Source organism: Homo sapiens, chromosome X, assembly GCF_000001405.40.
Source record: "Homo sapiens chromosome X, GRCh38.p14 Primary Assembly".
Classification (NCBI taxonomy): Eukaryota; Metazoa; Chordata; class Mammalia; order Primates; family Hominidae; genus Homo; species Homo sapiens.
The window spans coordinates 38,794,462-38,813,222 of record NC_000023.11 but is presented as its reverse complement, the minus strand read 5'-3'; the positions used below and the strand labels follow the sequence as shown (position 1 = coordinate 38,813,222).

General features: G+C 42.3%; 1 protein-coding gene and 1 long non-coding RNA gene across 4 annotated transcripts, besides 7 other annotated features; one reads left to right on the top strand and one right to left on the bottom strand.

Moving 5' to 3' along the window:
- Positions 1-6,690: 6,690 nt before the first annotated feature.
- Positions 6,691-11,764, bottom strand: MID1IP1 (MID1 interacting protein 1). Of its 3 annotated transcripts, none has more exons than NM_021242.6 (3): positions 11,736-11,764; positions 8,810-10,688; positions 6,691-8,540 (listed from the first exon to the last, which is right to left on the bottom strand). In NM_021242.6, exon 3 carries the CDS (start codon positions 8,274-8,276, stop codon positions 7,725-7,727), a length of 552 nt encoding a protein of 183 aa, NP_067065.1. In that variant the 5' UTR covers positions 8,277-8,540; positions 8,810-10,688; positions 11,736-11,764; the 3' UTR covers positions 6,691-7,724. The 3 variants fall into 3 exon arrangements, with proteins under 3 accessions (NP_067065.1, NP_001092260.1, NP_001092261.1); NM_001098790.2 differs by having other exon boundaries at positions 8,810-8,913; NM_001098791.2 differs by lacking the exon at positions 8,810-10,688.
- Positions 9,008-9,227: a silencer, noted in NCBI's record as "silent region_20737". NCBI's record gives its function as "represses an Ori minimal core promoter by ATAC-STARR-seq in GM12878 lymphoblastoid cells {active_cell/tissue: GM12878}" and the evidence as "EXISTENCE:reporter gene assay evidence [ECO:0000049][PMID:35858748]".
- Positions 9,008-9,871: a biological region, named in NCBI's record as "H3K27ac hESC enhancer GRCh37_chrX:38662605-38663446".
- Positions 9,030-9,871: an enhancer, noted in NCBI's record as "H3K27ac hESC enhancer chrX:38662605-38663446 (GRCh37/hg19 assembly coordinates)". NCBI's record gives its function as "activates a minimal SCP1, AML or CMV promoter by ChIP-STARR-seq in primed H9 embryonic stem cells {active_cell/tissue: H9 hESC(primed)}" and the evidence as "EXISTENCE:reporter gene assay evidence [ECO:0000049][PMID:30033119]".
- Positions 9,340-11,975, top strand: MID1IP1-AS1 (MID1IP1 antisense RNA 1). The gene is made up of 2 exons (NR_046706.1): positions 9,340-9,490; positions 11,431-11,975. It is a non-coding gene; the product is annotated as an MID1IP1 antisense RNA 1 (long non-coding RNA).
- Positions 9,872-10,713: an enhancer, noted in NCBI's record as "H3K27ac hESC enhancer chrX:38661763-38662604 (GRCh37/hg19 assembly coordinates)". NCBI's record gives its function as "activates a minimal SCP1, AML or CMV promoter by ChIP-STARR-seq in primed H9 embryonic stem cells {active_cell/tissue: H9 hESC(primed)}" and the evidence as "EXISTENCE:reporter gene assay evidence [ECO:0000049][PMID:30033119]".
- Positions 11,047-11,554: an enhancer, noted in NCBI's record as "H3K27ac hESC enhancer chrX:38660922-38661429 (GRCh37/hg19 assembly coordinates)". NCBI's record gives its function as "activates a minimal SCP1, AML or CMV promoter by ChIP-STARR-seq in naive H9 embryonic stem cells {active_cell/tissue: H9 hESC(naive)}" and the evidence as "EXISTENCE:reporter gene assay evidence [ECO:0000049][PMID:30033119]".
- Positions 11,664-11,743: an enhancer, noted in NCBI's record as "active region_29522". NCBI's record gives its function as "activates an Ori minimal core promoter by ATAC-STARR-seq in GM12878 lymphoblastoid cells {active_cell/tissue: GM12878}" and the evidence as "EXISTENCE:reporter gene assay evidence [ECO:0000049][PMID:35858748]".
- Positions 11,773-12,067: an enhancer, noted in NCBI's record as "tiled region #799; K562 Activating DNase unmatched - State 1:Tss, and HepG2 Activating DNase unmatched - State 1:Tss". NCBI's record gives its function as "activates a minimal TATA promoter and a strong SV40 promoter by Sharpr-MPRA in K562 cells, with weak activation in HepG2 cells {active_cell/tissue: HepG2 | K562}" and the evidence as "EXISTENCE:reporter gene assay evidence [ECO:0000049][PMID:27701403]".

The following is an 18,761-nucleotide window of genomic DNA, read 5'->3' as shown; positions in this document are numbered from 1 at the left end:
TTGTAGAAGTACATGTAGGGTTGGAAATAACTTTGCATCCAGTTTTAGAAAATACAATTTGCCACAGACTCTCTGCCACTTTTTCATTCCCTCGCTTTATCTGTATATCCTCCTCTTTCTTCCATTCTATTTGTCTCCTTTATATAATATCCTCCCTGCCCCACCCCCTATCTCCTTTTGTCCCCTACCCCTTCTACCTCAACATCAGGCCAACTCTGAGTTAGTGAAAAATAGTTTCATAAAATGATGGGAAAATACTATAGCACACCCACAAGAGGGGTATCTAACTGCTGAAATCAGGGAGCATTCAACCATTTTGGTTGACCAACAAAATGACCATGTTGGTTGATCAACAAAAATGGCAATTTCATATGCTTCTACTTAATATTTGTTGCCTTTCGAGTCAGAGAAAAAGGTATCACAGCTGGCTATCAGAAGAGAACAATTTCTCCCCACTCTTCAGGTTTCCAATGGCCAGGAATGTCCTGAAACATATTTTGCCTTTCTCCATCACTCCTGTTACTCACACTGACCCAGGATGGGGGAGTGAAGAACCACATCTGGAAAATTTGGAAAGACTATATTAGACAGGCTTGTCTTGGTGCCTCCTTTTTTCCACATGGAGCCAATATGGCTGCAGGGAGCAGGCATTTTCTTCTGCTCCCAAACCCACTAGAAGAAAAGGGCTGCTGGTTCTTGAGATTCCTCCCAGACCCCAACACAAGACTTAACCATCTAAATTGGCACTTCCCTAAAAACATTTAAGCTATGAAGAAATTATCAACAAGCACTTATCACAACAGAAACAAAATTATATCCTCAAAGCATCTGTGAGTTATAAGCTGCAATGTCAATTAGATGTTATAAAATACTACACCTTCTTTTGAATGACTAATCTACACTAACCACGCTCCTTGCATTCTACACATACTTTGGCTACTATAGAACATGTATGTATTCTTTCACAATGTCTACATTTCATTTTTTAAAGCAGGGTTAAAATTAATATTGCATTGTGAACAACTGGACAATTTTAAATACCTTGGTCAGAACCAGCAATGTGGTACTTTCGTTTTCATCTTTCCTTGACTACCAAACAGGAAATCTCCTCAATTAGGTATCTAAGAAGGGAGAAACAAGGCCCCAGCAAGTTCTGTCAGGTATTTCAAAATGGTGGAAGAGTAGCCAGGTTTTAATTGGCCCTACTGAGCTCGCCCACAAGCTATGACATTCTTTACCTCAGCAGTGTGGTATTCAAAAGGAGGAAAAAAAAAAACAACCCCACAAAGTTAGTTTCTATTTTTGACAACATCAAATGAATCATGTCCAGTTTCAACTGAATGCTCATTGATAAAAGTGCACATATCAACACCAGTAATATTGATATTGAAAAGTAAAATAGATTTTAGAAAATGCCCCACCTCCAACATTGTTTATTGTGCTAGGTAAAATAAAGAACTGGTTTCTATGTTTTGCTAGTGATTTCCTAGTCTTATTATCTACCGTGCATGTAACCATGGTGGAGAAAGTGTTCTCTAGACAGTCCAAGGTCAGAAAGTTCTCATGTGCAATCCTGTTCTTAACTAGGTGATTAGGATATTCTACAATCCAAATTCTTACCAGTTTGGGATTATTCAAATTGGGCACCTTGGCAGATATGTTTTGAAAACTGCTAGGCAAAGCATTCTGGAAGAATAGACAAAGAAGTAATAAAATATAACAAAAAGCAGTGGAAGTTACAAAAAAAAATGTTTCTCTTTAAAGTACAGAATGCCAAAACAGGAAGGATTGATAAGATAGTCGTGGTTTTAGGGGATTTCTTTAGACAGATGCACAACTCTCCGTTTTCTGCTTTAACTTGACCAAGACTTTTAACACAAAAAGAAAACAGCTAACTCAATCAAGAAAAAAAGAAAAAAGATGAAAGACTATTTGGGGAGGTGAAATCCTCGTGGTTGTAGGGAAGATGTATCTGAGTCCAGAATAACTACCTTTGCTGCAATCACCACTATTCAAGCACTGAATAGCAGCTGGAAGAGTTCTGTATACAGATGTGGGTTTTATTTTCCTCAATCAACATTTTATTAATTAAATATGATTCTTCAGTGGAGCAAGGTGACTCCTGAGGTATGTGGGCAATAGGGAGAAAAAGCATGGAATCCTCATTTGTTGAAACCAAAAAAGACCTTAAAGCTTGAGCTGCTCTTGTTTCCTTTCTGCAGTCTTCAACCCCTTTGTTTGTCCTGAAACTCAGGGAGATAGGGCAAGAGAACAAAACAGGAATCTCCAGCCTCTGCTCCATCTCCTTATCTTCCTACCAAAAGATCCATTCTGCACCACAAAAGGCCTTGTATGCACAAATATGGACAGCCCAGTCTGCATGTCCAAGCTCCATCCACAGCTCCCCACCAAGCCCCAGGCCTAGGGGTGCACACGTCAGCAGCTCATCTACCACTGGAGAATACACCCAGGACAGATGCCTATGAAATCCCTGGAATGGGATCAGAGCCATTTGGACAGGGAACTCTGGGTATCCAAGTGCCCAGAGTGTGGTCTAGAAGTCGGGACACAGTTCTGGACATTCCTTTGGCTCTGAGGATTTTCTGCCCCATGGAGAGTGGCAAGGCCTTACGACAGTCAGAGTTGGGGTCTTGTATAGTGGAGAGTCCTGGGCATGAGATTTGCATGAGTCAAAAGATAATACTAGTTTTCAGAGACAAAAACAGTTGTTGGTAATACATTACCATCATGTCCACCACCTATCAGAAAGTACTACACAGCTCCAAGTAAACTAGCTAGAGGCCTAGTGAAAGTGTTTGAAGTGACTCAAGAACAATCTTTACATTTCCTTGAGTTATTAAAAAAAAAAAAAAAAGACTATGCCTGGCCTTAAAAGAAAAAATAAATAATTTTAAGTTTAAATTATTTTAGTAATTAAGCAATTTAGCCTTGATTAGAAGCTACATAAACTTATCAACTTTAAAAAGACTAGTAATTAATTTTAAGAAACAAATCCAATATGCTACATCTTTAGAGTTTTCAAAAACTTGCAATCAAGTTTTTTTATTAGTTGGGAGCAAAACATTATCTCCAAAACTTTAAAAGAAAACATTCCTTCTGTCATTATTGTATCCAAAACTCTTCAAAATAAATCAAAGAAAGATGCAATGATTGGTAAAAATGTACTAGATGTACCATCAAAAGATAAATAGCTTTGGGGAAAAAGGTACATTGTTTGAGATTTGAGCTCTGAATCCACCAGAACTGTGTCCAATTTGCAAACATCTGAGAACCATTGGCAATGCAGAACAGAGGGAGGAAGGGACCGGGGGAGGGAGAGAGACAAAGAGAGAGAAAGAGAGAGAAAGGGAGAGAGGAGAGGCACTATTTTTCAAATGATTTTTGCTCAGTAACTAAAAATAAGGGGAAATGATGAGGCATATGCAAATGCCAATAACCTTCATTTAAAAATTAAAAAAATTGTCAACAGCAGGCTAGTTTTCAAGTTGGTCAAAAGAGTAATTATGGCATGCTCTCTAACAAACTGTTTTCAGGTTCACAGAAAGAGTAAATTAGGCCAGACCACTAAGAAACATTGTATAAATGTAAAACATGAAATTCCCCATGTGAACAAAGCAGAAAGCTGTGTTTAGGGGCAAAACCAGGCCTTCTCAGAAGCTTTGGTACAAGATTTTGATGTAAAAAATTCTTACATTCTTATCAAATGTAAATATCTGGAGGGTAATCAATTGCAATCTAAGCTGTTCCTTTTTGCCCAGTTCATCTATCTGTGCCTTCCCTTTAGTCATAAACTGCCATGGAGATGGGCACTGTCAGAGAGCAACAGTATCTCTGAGAGCTCTCTGAGGGGTATGCCACACATTGTATTCGATTCTTAAAATTCAACTTTATTCAACTCGTAAAATCTATAAGTGACTTTGAGATTCCTCAGGAAAGACCTTCTGAAAATATGAAGTCACTTATTGTTTACCTCAGAGGTTAAGCAAAATTTTCAATAGCTTGCGAAGTTTTAACTGGTAAATCTTTTGGGAATTTGTCCTAATTTTGTTTCACAAACTGATCTGGAATAAAATAGTAGTTACCACTAGTGGAATAGTACTTACTGGGCCCGGAAACCTTATTGGTTCATAAATATCCCAATGCTCTTTTAACAGCGAGCATCATTACTCCTAGGTCAGAATCACTGTTTATATATAAAAAGTCTCTTACATGAAGAAATATTTTCAAAAATAAAGTTAATAATTGATAACTCTTTAGAGTTTAGTTTTTCTATCTACATGTACTTTTCTGTATTATATATACTGCAATAATATTCCAAAAACAACTTTCAGTGAATGTCCCCAAAGTTCTTGCTATCACTTGCCCAAACTGTGATTTTTTAATTTTTATTTATTTATTTATTTTTGGTTTTAAGTCAAGTTCTCCTTCATGGCTTTGAGAAAGGAAATAATTTACTTGTTGCTTCACGTATGTAATTAAAATTATGCTTTTCCTTAAAATGGACATATTGTCCTAAGCCTCATATATTCACGAAGAATGTAGGGTGGGGGCAGAAATGGAGACACGAAACAACATTTAGTTTAAGAGAGAAATGTGCAGGTCAGCAGGCCCAAACCCCCACAGGCAAGCAAACGGACAAAACCAAGAGTAACATGAAAGGTTTTTAAGCATGAATTGAGGAACAGAAGCAGCAGAGGAGATGATTGGAGCAGCATTTGTTTCCCCCCCCAATCTAGAAATTTTATTTCCTGTGTACACTAGCCAGTGGTTGTAAACAACCATTTAATTGGTGTAAAGAACTTAATTTCAATATAAAGTGACTCTGGGCAGCATTGGTGATGCCGTTTCCGAGTTGTAGCCACTGTAATTGTGAATATTAACTGAGATAGTGAAACATGGTGTCCGGTTTTCTATTGCATTTTTTCAAGTGGAAAAGTTAACTAAATGGTTGACTCACACAAAGTGGTGGAGAAATTGTGCATATGTCATTTTTTTGCTAAAACCTTTTGTTTCAAACTATACTGCTTTAAGATCTCATTTCAGAAGGGCATAGTCTTCAGCCACAGTTGTGATGGTTGTAAATGCTCATAATTGGGCATTCTTAGGGTTTTTTCCATCCCTGGGGTTTGCATGTTGTTCACTTAAAGCATTCCTAAAATGGTTGGCTTCTGGTTTGCAAGCCAGCTGATAATGGTAGCAACCAAAGACTCCAGGGTGTAAGCATATGAAAGACTCTGCTTGCTTGTGCTAGAAATAACAGCATCTAAAGTGAAGACTTAAGAAAAAACTTAGTGGCTACTAGACTATCCTTAGGACTCTGCATTAACTCTATAATGTTATTGCTTTTTTTAAGCATATTTGTCAGAGTAGTCAATATGTTAAAACTGAACATGTATGAAAGTTGCTTAGATAAATGTAATCACTGTAAACATCAAAAAAGAGAGAAACTTGTAAAGCATTTCAGCAGTGCCTAAAGAAAATTTTAAGCCTCAAACACTTTATATATAATCTCATTTAATTCTCACTGCAACTCCATGAAGCAGTGTAGTTATTTTTATGCCTGATTACTAATGTGGCAACAGGCATGAAGTTAAATGCACACAATTAGTAGCAAGAGGATTTGCACAGTTTCTGGCTCCAAAGTCTTTGAAAGTCTTTGTGTTTCTACCATGCAGCTTTTTTCTTTTTTTCAGTTTCCTTTATTTTTTGCTTGCACTTTGATATTTTAAAGGGGACACGAGACAAGAGGCTGTATGCCTTACTTTTGGTGCTGCCTAGCTTATCTTTATACAAATTAAAGATTAACTTTCTCTGGCAACTGGCAAGCACCCATCTTGACACTTCCACATTTTTTTTCACTGCTGCTAAAAGCTGATAGACTTGAACTGCCCCTGCCCGCCAGCACCACAAAACATTTTGCTTGTTTTTTAAGACCGCTAACTTATATGTATTTTAAATTCAAGCCCTACGAGCTTAGAGAATGCCTCATGACTTCAACAAGTTGATCTGACATTTATACCCCAAAACAAATAATGAAATAAAGAATATGCAGAGCACATTCTTTTACCTTTCCCACCATCCCAGCAGAGCATCATAATGGCACCTAAGCATTCCCAAGGGCTCCACAGCAGCCTTGATCAGAACTGCTGTCCACAATTGCAGACTGGCTCACTGAAAAACTGGAAGCATTACTGGACGCCGCTCAACAAAGCTTAGCCCTTTTTGGAACTAGTGAAAGAAGTCATCGATCATGTTGTAATGCATTTAAATGTCTACTCAGATAAACATAAAAACCTGTAAGGTGTGTGCACTAGGATTAGCTGGTCTTCCCTTCTAATTTTCACTTCTCAGTAACCAAGTGAAATTTCAGCCTTGTTTTTATGCCTCAAAACACTTTAGCTTGTGCTTGAGCTTCTTAAAAAATTCAAAATGTTAATTACGCACTCCAATAAGTTAGCCAAATTGGTTGAAAGATACAATATATGTACCTTCCCAAATATTTTAAATATTTCTGAACTTTTTGTTGAGATGTATGGTCTTATCTTGGTACTGAATTAGAAATAAAGTTTGGAAGTAAATTTTGTCAGTACCTAGTTCCCAAACAAAGCTAAATACTTGCACAGATGAATATCCACCACCATGAAATACCAGAGAGAACACAAAATTTACTTTTGCTAGTAAATCAATTAAATTGATTTTTATTTAATGACGAAACCATTCATTGGCAGATTAATGAGGACCAGACGCTTGTCCAATTTAGTTGACACATTTGCTTTTTTATTTTTTAGAATATAGTCTACATCTGGATTAAAAAAAGTTTTAAATAAATTTAAGACATACAACAACAGTGGAACCCTTCATCATTCTATGTACAACACGATAGAATGTCAGTTGGTTCCATTTCGGTTAAGTCCACTTTCTCATAATAATGTTATTATTTTCACTGAGTGGCAAGCTACGTACAAGCTGGCGAAATGCCAGCTTATACACACTGGGGTGGGGGTGGGGACGGGAGTGGCACGAAAGGGATGGGGTGGGGGTGCCATAGGACTACTATACAGTGTAACAGAAAATCATTAATAAAGTAGTACCGATTACCGACAGACAGTGCTGTTTGTGCGCTTATCACAATGGAATCGCTGAAGTTTCAGAGCAAGGAGGAGATTCGAAATACTTCACACAGGGCCAATGTTACAAAAAGAAATAGTGCAAACAGGAAAACTGATGCAATCCTAGCAACGCCTGGGCCTCCACCGGCCCAACCGCAGGGCGGCGGGAGGCTACGCGCCCCGCCTTCCCCAGCACCCAGCTCCGGGCTGCTTTCCCAAGTGTGGCAACCCAGCGCCGCGCCCTGGTATGGCCCCTTCTCGGGCCCTCTCCTCCGAAAAGAACAGAAAAGAAACCCCAGGAAAGGCACAGGCTGAATGCAGGGCGTCAGCCCAGTCCCATTCCCACCAACATAGAATGCAGGCCCCCTCCCAGGAGGTTCCTTGGGCCCTCCCATCTCCGGCCACCATTTTCTTCTCTCTCACACGTGGCCCCCTCCTCCACGCAGCCCCACCGCGCCTCCTGCACGTACGCAGCCCCCCAGTTTGCAGTCTGCCCTTCCCGCCCCCCAGCCAGGAAAAAAAAAAAAAGCTTTGAGGAATGAGAGAGGGTGAGATGGGTCGAAGAAGGTGCTGGGCAGCCACGGGCGCCACGCCTCAGTGGCCCCAATTGCCGAAGCCGATCTCCTGCTTGTATCTGTTAGTGAGGATGTTGGCTTTGCGCGTGAGTTTCGAGAGCACAGTGTGCAGCCCGCGCAGGTGGTAGTGGAACTGCTGTTCCAGGTCTTCTTCGCCGGCGTCCGCACCCTCCAAGTGGCCCAGGTCCACCAGGATGTCCTTGGACTTCCAGGCACTGCCCTCCTCGCTCCCAGCCGGTGGAGGCGGCTGGTGCAGGACCCCCCACTCGATGTCGTTGCGGATGGACTTGAGAAGCACGTAGTGGCTGTACATGTCCCGAGAGGGCGCGAAAAAGCTGCCATTGGCGCTTCCCGAGTCGGGGACTGGGGGCGTGCGCTCCTCCAGGCAGCCGCCACTGCCGCCTACCTCCACGCCAACATCGTTGTCTAACCCGGGGTCAGCCAGGGGCACGTCGCGCAGCAAGCTGGGCACCATCACCGTCTGGTCCATGTTGTTCACGGCGCCAATGAAGCGATTCATGGCGTTAAAGAGCGAGTGCTTCTGGTTGTAGGTGTCGCAGATTTGCATCATGGTGGCCGCGCGGACGTTGGAGCGCAGGGACGCAGGGGCACGGGGATGGTCGGCCGGGTCAAGGGGATGCCCGCCTTCACGCGCTCTCCAAGGCCCGCGCTGGGGGCCTGGCTATAGCCGGTGTGGCGGGATTCCCGGCACTCCTCCGCCCTCGCCAACTCTCGTCTCGCTGGCAGACCGGCCCTGCGGGATGGGCGGCTTCTCCTGGCTTTGGCGCCCGGAAACTCGCGATGGCTGAGGGTGCTCTGTGGGTCGAGCCCTGGCCTGTTTGATACACGGAGACGAAAGAACAGATTAGATTATTCACCCTGCTAGGGGGCCTGGCGCCCTTGCCCGCGCGCACCCCCTTCTCTGGCTACAGCTCGTCCGGGACGGCGCCTGGGTGGCTCCCCGCGGCTGGGCAGTCCCACCTCCTCGCCCACCTACGGCCGCGGGGAGAAGGGTGTCCCCCCACCACCACAACTTCTCCCTCCGAAAAGCCTGAGCTCAAGCAACCAAGCTGGCCGGGGCAGCGATGGGGCGTGGGCACCCACCTCCTCTTGCGCCTTGAGACTCTCCTGCTCGTTGGCAATTCAGTGTTCTCGCTGCAAGCGGCTGCTACGCAAGGGCGCTGCTGCGGTCAGTGGCTGGACTGTGACTGCGGACGGCGGTGACTGCGTTGGCCCCCTACCCATCCCAGGTGCTCAATTTATAGTCCAGGAAAGGTGTCGCCGGCGCTCAGGGCCACCCCTGGTGTCTCCTCCTCCCGCCTCCCCCGGCAGCACCGAGATAAAAGGCCCAGGCCGGGATGACCGCGAGTAACACTCGCCCGGCCCTTTCTACAGCGGGGGCGGGGCGCGCCGGGCCAGCTCCGCCTCTCGCCTGATACCCGGGCTGAGGGAGGGCGCCGGGGCAGGCCAGGGCAGGGCAGGGCAGAGCAGAGGAGGAGGGATTGGAGCAGCTGGACCCCGCCAGCACCAAGCCCTGGGCAGGCCAGATGAGGAGGGCCGGGCACAGCGAGGGTCAAAAAGGCGTCGGCGTCCGGACCGACTGGAGGGTGGGGCTGGCATGTGGGGGCTGGGCGGGCCTTGCGCGCGCTCCCCGCGTGGGATGACCAGAATGCACGTGCCTTGGTTGCAGAGTGAGCCCCTCAGCCCCGAATCTGGAGTGGCCGCGGCCGGGAAACAGGAACCCGGGTTTATTATTAGCCGTCGGGGAAGAGGGGCCGGCAGCAGGTACAACTCCATCCTGGGACTCTTACGTAATAAAGGGTGACCGGGCATGCTGGGTGCACGTGGACGCGCGGTGCTCCCGCAGTGGCCCTGGCCTTGGTCAGCTATGGGGGGAGGGGAGCGTCAGAGGCTTTTGCCTCCCTCCTGGCGGGGTGGGATCTTTCCCAATCTTTCCTTTAACAGTGGTTGCCGGGGATGAAGAGGGGCACACTATCAGATCTGCTGATTCTTTGAAGAGATCTGCAAGTGGCAATGGGGAGAAGTCCATTTTTGTCCAAGTCGGCTACACAGTGATGCTGGAGAGCCTGGGCCATGTGGCCTTTTGGCTGCCAAGAGGCCAGGAGAGGGTGACAGTAGTTAGGTCTAGTCTTGGGTGTCTTTCACCATTTAACAGAGAAATGGGGAGGTGTCTAATTATTTTTGAGGGTGCTTGTGTGAAGTGTTCCTTTCAAAAGATAGTTCTTAAAGCACTGGGTCATTTAATAGGGCCTAAGCTATGTACCGAATCGCTGGATTTAACTTTTAAGAGCCTTGCACCTTGAATTTCACTTTGAGACTTCCAAACCACAGCCTATTTAATTTTTCCCATCTCATGTCCCTTGCCATATTCCTCATCCACCAGTCCTCTCTGGCAGTCCTACAATTATGTTCAATAAGATTCAAGCTTCTCATTTTAAATCCCTTTTCTCGGCCTGAAACGGTGGCTCACGCCTGTAATCCCAGCACTTTGGGAGGCCGAGGCGGGCGGATCACAAAGTCAGGGGTTCCAGACTAGCCTGGCCAACATGGTGAAACCCGGTCTCTACTAAAAATACAAAAATTAGCCGGGCGTGGTGGCCAGCGCCTGTAATCCCAGCTACTCGGGAGGATGAAGCAGGAGAATTGCTTGAACCCAGGAGGCGGAGTTGCAGTGAGCCGAGATCGTGCCACTGCACTCCAGCCTGGGCGACAGAGCAAGACTCTGTCTCAAATAAAAAAAAAAAAGATCCCTTTTCTCTAAAACTTAACAGAGGTCTCTGTCCCTAGTACAGTTTTTTCCCACGGGACAAAAAATGCCTAAGGAAGGGAGAACATAATAAAGGGGTTTCTTTCTCTCCCTCTTTCTTTCACATTAAGACCTACACTTAAATATTTTCCATAGAAAACCATCTTCCTAATTGTCTTTTGAATGAAATTCTGACTTGGTGCCACAAGGACTAATCTGTTGACAAAAAACAAACAAAACAAAACAAAGTCAGTGACCCTTGGAGACAGACCTAAGTCTGAGGACCCACTACCCCAAAACGTATTAGCTCTACATCACAGCCCATGTTTTCTTACTTGCAAAACTGGGATAGACCTATCAGGGTTTTGAAGGAAGATCAATGGAAAGAAAAATACAGGGAGGCAGGAAGCATTATATAACTTTGAAGCATTAAAATAATTTCACCTTCCTTCTCTGCACACATAGAAACTTTTCTAGCCTCAGTTTCTTTATCAAAAAAATGGAGCTTGTTCCATGGGCCGTGCCAAGGACTTTGATTAAGTTTAAATATGATAATGTAAATAAAAATCACTATGTAAATTGTAAAGTACAAAGATTAATTGTACTTGATACAGGACCTCATCATAGTGAGAGGTGTTTATGTGAAGAGTCAGAAACCTTAAAAGTGTGGAAATTGCCTATGATGAGCCACAGATCCTTCCACCCAACCCCCAGTGCTTAAGCAGGAAAATAATATAAAATATGTCCAATGAGATTGAAAGAGCACTGCAAGAAGAAAACTCGAGAAAAACAGATATACAGTTTCTAGTAGCTGATCTTCTCATAAATTAAAGCGTACTTTGTCCCCCTTCCTGGACCCATTTGGTATTTTAAGTACGTATGCACCCGGATGAAAACTCGGTATTCAGACTTAACTTACTAAATGCCAAAATCTTGCCTCTTTTTCTCTTCTTCCCAGTTCCAACAGTGTGATAACACACGGAAAACGGAAATCCAAGGGATCTAGCAAAAGGATTCCACCCAGCAAAAACGCCAGCTTGGGAGAGGGCCCCTACCTAACTCCTTCCTTCTGGCCTCCACCCCTCCCCTGATACGTTTCCTTCCGTCTAGTCTCGAGATAACCCTTCATCCCCCAGTTTCTTGACTCTGGCCGCTGTTCTTGAACATTTCTTAAACACTTTCAGAGAAAGATGGCTCATGCACCTGCCTGCAAAACTTCCCAAACCGGGCCTCCCAGCTCCCCCAGACCCCGCAACAACTCACACCCGCCGGGGAAACTCCAGAAGGAAAAGGTCCGCCGGCCAGAGCTCTGGGCCCTTGGAATCACCCCACCACCGCCCCTCTGGCTTCAGCCAATCAGAAGCCGTCAGAAAATATTATGCAAATGAATCCTGATGCTCCAGCCAGTCAGAAGCCGCGGAGCCCTCCCCCACGCAGCGTCCTCTTTCACCCCAGCCCCGCCAAGCTGGCTGCCGCGTCCCTGGCAACCGGCGCGCAGCCAGTTCTCCACTACGCTTGGCTGTAAAAAAATTAAAATGGTTGCCTGGGGTCACATGGGAGGGGAGCGGGCTGGCCCAGGCCTAAGGAAGGTTGGAAACCTCACTGATTGCCCCAGGCACCTTCCCTGTCCCGATCTGGAACAGGCTGGAGGTGCTGAGCCACCTGCCCGGAATTCAGTTTGCCTCCAGAAAACAGAAGTCATCCGTTGAACAAATAACTTTCGAGTCCTTGTAGCACGCCAACAGCCTCAAAGCAAGAGGTCTTTGGTCTCTGCTTTCTATCCTATATGCTAAATTTCCGGTAAAAGCCTTGTCTGAGGTACCCATCCCCACTTCTTGGTTCACAGTTGCAATTCTGGAATTCTGGATCTCTTTTTTTTTGTTTTGTTTTTTTTTGAGACGGAGTCTCGCACTGTCGCCAGGCTGGAGTGCAGTGGAGCAATCTCGGCTCACTTCAACCTCTGCCTCCCGGGTTCAAGTGATTCTCCTGCCTCAGCCTCTCCAGTAGCTTGGACTACAGGCGCGCACCACCACGCCCAGCTAATTTTTATATTTTTAGTAGAGACGGGGTTTCACCATGTTGGCCAGGATGGTCTCGATCTCTTGACCTCTTGATCCGCCCGCCTCGGCCTCCCAAAGTGCTGGGATTACAGGCGTAAGCCACCAGCGCCCTGCCGGAACTCTTAAATTCTGGTTCTTAATTCCCACTCTTTTAATTAAGCAACCTGGAAAGCATGCTTTGCTGGCTCATCTCCCCAAAAATGTCCACAAATTATCCTTGTACTGTGTCCCTTGGATAGTTTTTTTTTGGGGGGGGGGAATGACATTTTAAAAGTGACCAGAAATTCCTGAACAAAGTAGTCAGCAAGAGTAAACTGGTGCAAGAAAGTCAGACTGGATAAAGAAGAGATCTGGCCTAGAACTGGAAGAAAGATGATATTTTAAGGCAAGAAGCCAGCCCAACCCAAGATAGCAGAGATCCTGGATTATTTTGAGACAGACTTAGAAGGATCCATTTCATGAAAAATGTCCTAGAAATATGACAGTCAGACTCTCGTGTTAAAGGCCATGTAGTCCAACCATCCACTTGTGCTGAAATCGCTCACAACATCCCCACCAAGTGGTCGCCCTTGCCTACATTCTTCTATTTTCCGTTCTCCAGTGTTCTTCTATCTTTTGGAGCTCTACAGAAGGCCATGAAGCACACCATCAGATGTTTGAAGGTAGATATGGTCTCCTTAAGTCTACTGTTCTTCAAGTCAGTTATCCCCAGTTCCTGTAGCCATTCTTCATGTTCTCTTTTGAGTCGCTCATCCATCCTAGTCACTAACTTTAGAAGTAGCTCTGGTTTGCTTTTGAGTGTGGCCCCTCTCATTCCAAGTACCATCTTTTCTAGGACAAAATGGAGTGGCACAGCCACTTATATTATTGTGAATGGTAATTTTTCTAGGTCATATTTATTGAGCACAAGTGCTTGGAAATTAGACTTGTTAACTCAAAAGACATGTTAACTCATTTTAACTTCACAACCACCCTGAGAAGAAAGCAAGGATCAAAGAGTTTAAGGGCCAAACTGTCAGAACTGGGATTTGACCCAGTTTTCTAATGCCAAATCCAATGTTCTTTCTACTACTCAATAGATAGCTACTGCTTATAATGCTGCCTAACATTTAATGGACTTATTTTAACAGCTACATCTATATGCTGCCATCTATATAACAAAATTTTGTGTACCCTATACTTGAGTAGTGGGGATTTTTTGGACCAAAGTACAGAACTTTATATTATCCTACTTAAACTTTATCTCATTGGATTTGGCCCATTAGTTCAGCCTGTTTTATTATTTTGGGTCCTGATTCTGTGCTGTAATGCACTTGGATCTTACCCATATATTTGATAACTATTCTATATATTTATCCAAGTTATTGATAATAGGTACCAGGCACCACTGGGCAAGAGGCAAATTGCTGTAGAACATCTGGAGAGCTCCTTCAGTTTGATATCCGTCCATTAATTGGCACTTTTTGGCATAAGTTGTTCCAGCCAGCTATGAATCATGTTAATTGTACAGTCATCCAGCCTATATTTTTCTTCTTGACCACAGGATATTATGAGAGACCTTGCTAAGTGCCTTGCTGAAGTCCCAAGCTAATAGCCAGTTTTCTTCCTGTGGAGTCAAGAAGAAGGGCATTTTTGTCATATACCACAAAGAAACCACCATCACATGATACAAAAATGCAGAAATAGCATCATAATAATCTGAGTTAAGATGGGGAAGGGAGTGTATCTTATTGTAATTGTCCTTACAGGAAAAACCGTCATGAAGGTTTAGTTGAGAGAAGGTAGACAGAAAAATGCCAAAACCTAAGAACAGTGAGTAGTGAATCTGCTGGCTTCAGATCCACTTTCAGGTTTTGGAATGTCTGAATATGTCGTAGTTAGCATTTTGTCACAATCTCATTTTTTAAAGCGTCTTTAGCCTTGCGTTTGGAAGAAGTAGAGCACAGGGAAAGTTGAGAATACTAAAGAATACCTTTTGTTATGTTCTCATCATTTCTACATCTTTAAGAACTCTGAACCGTATACAGAACTGTACATTCAATTTCAATATGGTAGATGAGAAAAGGGCAAGACACATCATAGCTTTTCTTACCACATAGAAACTTCTCAAGTTGATTTTTCCTAGATCCTTAGGATTCCAGGACTTTCTTGTACCATCAGCATAGAAGGAAGAATGAGAATGTTCTTTCTTCACTCTATCCTGTTAAAATGTGTCAGCTTGGTTAGTTTAAATTCTGAAATTAGATTCAAAGTTTACAAATTATAACACCAAATTAGGGAGAAAACACATAATTATCAATATTTCATATGTTCAAGTCCTAATTACAAATCCACATATATACATATACATATGGGTTGTAGCTTCATTTTGTTGAAGCTACAGTGTCATAAATACATTATCCAATGGACGGGTTCAACAGTTACACGCCCAAGTCTTCCATAATTTACTCTTCCAACCTTAATAATAAAAAAACTAGACCTAGACAAGGTACAATGAAGTCAAGGCGAATTCACCTACATCATATTAGACAGTCTGGACAGAGTTAGTACACAAAAGATGTAAATCTAGAAGCAAATACAACCTACAAGTCCTTCCAGCTATAGAAGACCTTGATAAGAATAGAAAAATAATAAACAATTAGGAAGATTTGAAAAAGGATATTGCAGAGCAAAAGAAACAAAATTTGAACCAAACACATCACTAGAGAGTCAATAAATGTAATTCCAAACAAGGAACAAAACAGGCATGCCAGAAAATTCAGTTACTGGCATAGGGCAAAAGGTTCAGGTAATCCCAATGAAAAGACACAAAAGAGTGAAAGAAAATGGAGAGGAAATGTTGGATAGAGAAGACAAAGACAACATAATATAGGCCAGGCGCAGTGGCTCACACCTGTAATCCCAGCACTTTGGGAGGCTGAGGTGGGTAGATCACTTGAGGTCAGGAGTTTGAGACCAGCCTGGCCAACATAGTGAAACCCCATCTCTACTAAAAATACAAAAAAATTTAGCTGGGCATGGTTGTGCATGCCTGTAATCCCAGCTACTTGGGAGGCTGAGGCAGGAGAATCACTTGAACCCAGGGGGCGGAAGTTGCAGTGAGCCGAGATCATGCCACTGCACTCCAGCCTGGGCAACAGAGTGAGACCCCGTCTCAAAACACACACACACATACACACACACACACACACACACACACACACACACACACACACAATATAAGCTTAACTGATGTTTCCAAAGAGACCTCAACATGTGAAATAGAAGAAATTCAGTTGTAACATAGAAAATTTTCCTTGACAAGATGCATTCATCTGCAGATTTAATAAGCATACTATATACCAGATAAAATTATGCAGAACAGTTGAAAAACAAGCTAGTTGTATTTTTCAACTTCAAAGAAGAAGAAAAAAAGCCTTCAAGTGTCCAAGCAGGAAAAGAAGTCACCAAAAAGATGGTGGTCTCAGGGGAGGAGAGAATCCAACCAGCTTTACAAAAACATTCCACTACAGGAGACAGTGGAGCTGGAAGAAAGAATGTATGATTCAAAAGTATTATATTACTCAAGCAAAAAACAATAAGCAGACATTCTCAAACATGAACTCAGGATTTTTCTTGAGAAACTTACTGGTAGAAGCCTGCCAACAACAAAAAAAATTAATTTAAATGAGTAATCCAGGAATGGAGAAACCCTGATGAAGAGATTCATAGTGAGTTTGAATCAATTTAAATGCAGAAGTAAGGTAAAACAGTGTGGATACTGGTTGCAGAATATAACGTAAATATTTTAAACCCTGAAGATGAAAAAATAATGCAAGCAACAAAACTGGAAGATGGGGGAATGAAAAATAGCAGAGCTAACCAACTTTCATTGCAGCAGGTCAATCAATGATGCCTAAAACCAAATTGTGCCATTTAAAAACTAAAGACACAAACATCTTAAAACTTTACAAAATATTTTTTCTCAATTTAAAGAGATCTTTTAGGAACTAATACATTCCATAGCAAAGAGTCTGTTTTCTAAAGTTCAGTATTTCTTTCAGTGTAATTTCAAGTAAAATTAATTTTAACATTTCATTTAAAGTAGTAGGTATGATAATGTTCTTTTTCTTCATCTGGGTGCAAGGCGCTAGTTACACAGGTGTGCTCATCTTGTGAAAAATTGTTGAGCTGACACTTATGTTTGAACTTTTTTGCATATATCTTATACTTAAATAAATTTTTTGAAATTCCATTCACATAAAATTCTAGGGGGTGTGAAGAGAGGGGGTGAGAGAGTCAACAGTCTGAGGCAGTGACCTGGTTTGGAATTAAATGCTCTCAGTAATTTTTGCATAAAAACGTTTGTGAACCCAACTTAAATGGGAATAGGAAAGTAGTAAGCTCTCCAAATTTTGGACCCTTGGGGCAGAAACCATTGTTTTTGCTCTCTGCTCCTGTCAACTGCAGTTTAAGAAATCCAGTGTTGGGAGCTTCCAAGCTTTAGTCTTGGAGAGGAAATTCTATTAAAACAATGTTTTTCTGTAACCCCCCTAAATATTGTTTCTAAAAGTATATTTGCATAGCACATATATAGATGGCTATTCACCTTTGTTATTATGATCTATAGCTGATGATTCAAAATATCTGGAAAACTTATATCTACTCTACTTTCTACGAAGTCTGTAGTAGCTCTTTACTAAAGGTAGAAAAAATCATGTTAGTGGAGTTGTAGGAGTCTCCCTGTGCCCTCATCTATACCCTAAGTCTGGTCAGAGGTATACTTGCTTATCTATAGTGTATATTCTTTTAACCACACTACTGTACAAAGATTAGCTTTAACAATTTGGCCTGCAAAGATTGGACTTTAGATCAGCATTAATCCTGGGCAGTCCAAAATTCAAATGGGGCACATGATTAATTTCCTTGTTTCCTAAATGGTTTCACAATTAATAGAAATTTGGAAATAAATTTATGGGTGTGCCATTAATAGACACCTTGAACTTTATTATAACTATCATTTTCTTTCTAGAAAATATATTAAACAAGGAAACATATATTTTCCATCTCTAAGGCACAGGGTGTCTTGTATAATTTTATTTTGCGCAAAGTGGGTGATTACCTTGGCCGGAAGTATAAGGTGCTTGTTTGTGGCATAGGGTTCAGTCAGTAATATTTGTCATAAATGTTTATTTGAGGCTACATGGTGTCTATCAAAATGACCTCATTAGTTTCTATAGAAGAGACTCAAATATCTTTCCAATCTTGATCTAAACTATTAGTAAATGTAAATACGAATGCTGAGGTGATTCACATAGTAATTAGATCTTGGGTTTTAGAAAGAACAACCATGATTTACTTAACAAAAAGTCTATTCCTGCAGATCATATGAAGCAGAAAAAGAAAGTCTGATAAGTAAAAGAGAAAAAGAGCAGCATAGCCAGGTATTAAAACACATCACTCTCATTTAGTCTCCCCAACTAGAAGGAGATTATCTAAATCATTGGAGGAAGAATCCAGAATATTCCAAATTGATGATTCTTGGGAGTTTATGAAATATTAAATTAAAAAATTAAATTAGTTTCAGACAGCACATTCAGCTTTGTTATATCCAGGTTGAAGCAAATTAGATGCCATTAAAAATGGTCAGTTCAGCTGCTTTTATAAATGTTGTTCTTGCCTGTTATATCCAGGTTGAAGCAAATTGGATGCCATTAAAAATGGTCAGTTCAGCTGCTTTTATAAATGTTGTTTTTTACCTACTGTAGGGACCATAATTTTAATGTGTTCAAACAATTGGTTCAAGTGCTTCACACTTCTGTGTACCATTTGTGTAATTTCTCCATGACAGAAAAACAGAAGGCTTGGGTTTTTAATATCTAATGTCACGTTCATTCAAAATTCTATTTTTTATTTATTCAAGCACGATGTATTTATTTGCCTTCCTTCTAGAATATGACCTTCAATCTACCTTCCTGAAACAGTTTTCCTTGCTTCTCCCCTCTCTTTCCCCATCAAAAAGGCCAAAAGTTGAAATGGGAGGAATGGGAAGATAATGCACTCCCAAGCCCCTAATTATTTTGGAATGCTCTGTAATCTACTCAAAAAAGCAAGATGTACAAGGAGGTCAAGTTCACCTACAAGATACTGTCTAAGGCAATATAATAAATTAACAAAAAAATTAATAAACGGACCCACCAAAGTAAGTGACTAATTCTAGAATTATGACTGCATTCATATAAAGGCCATA

What these genes read in the sequence shown, in the direction of transcription:
- MID1IP1 (NM_021242.6), bottom strand. Translation starts at nt 8,276, where the DNA reads ATGATGCAAATCTGCGACACCTACAACCAGAAGCACTCGCTCTTTAAC.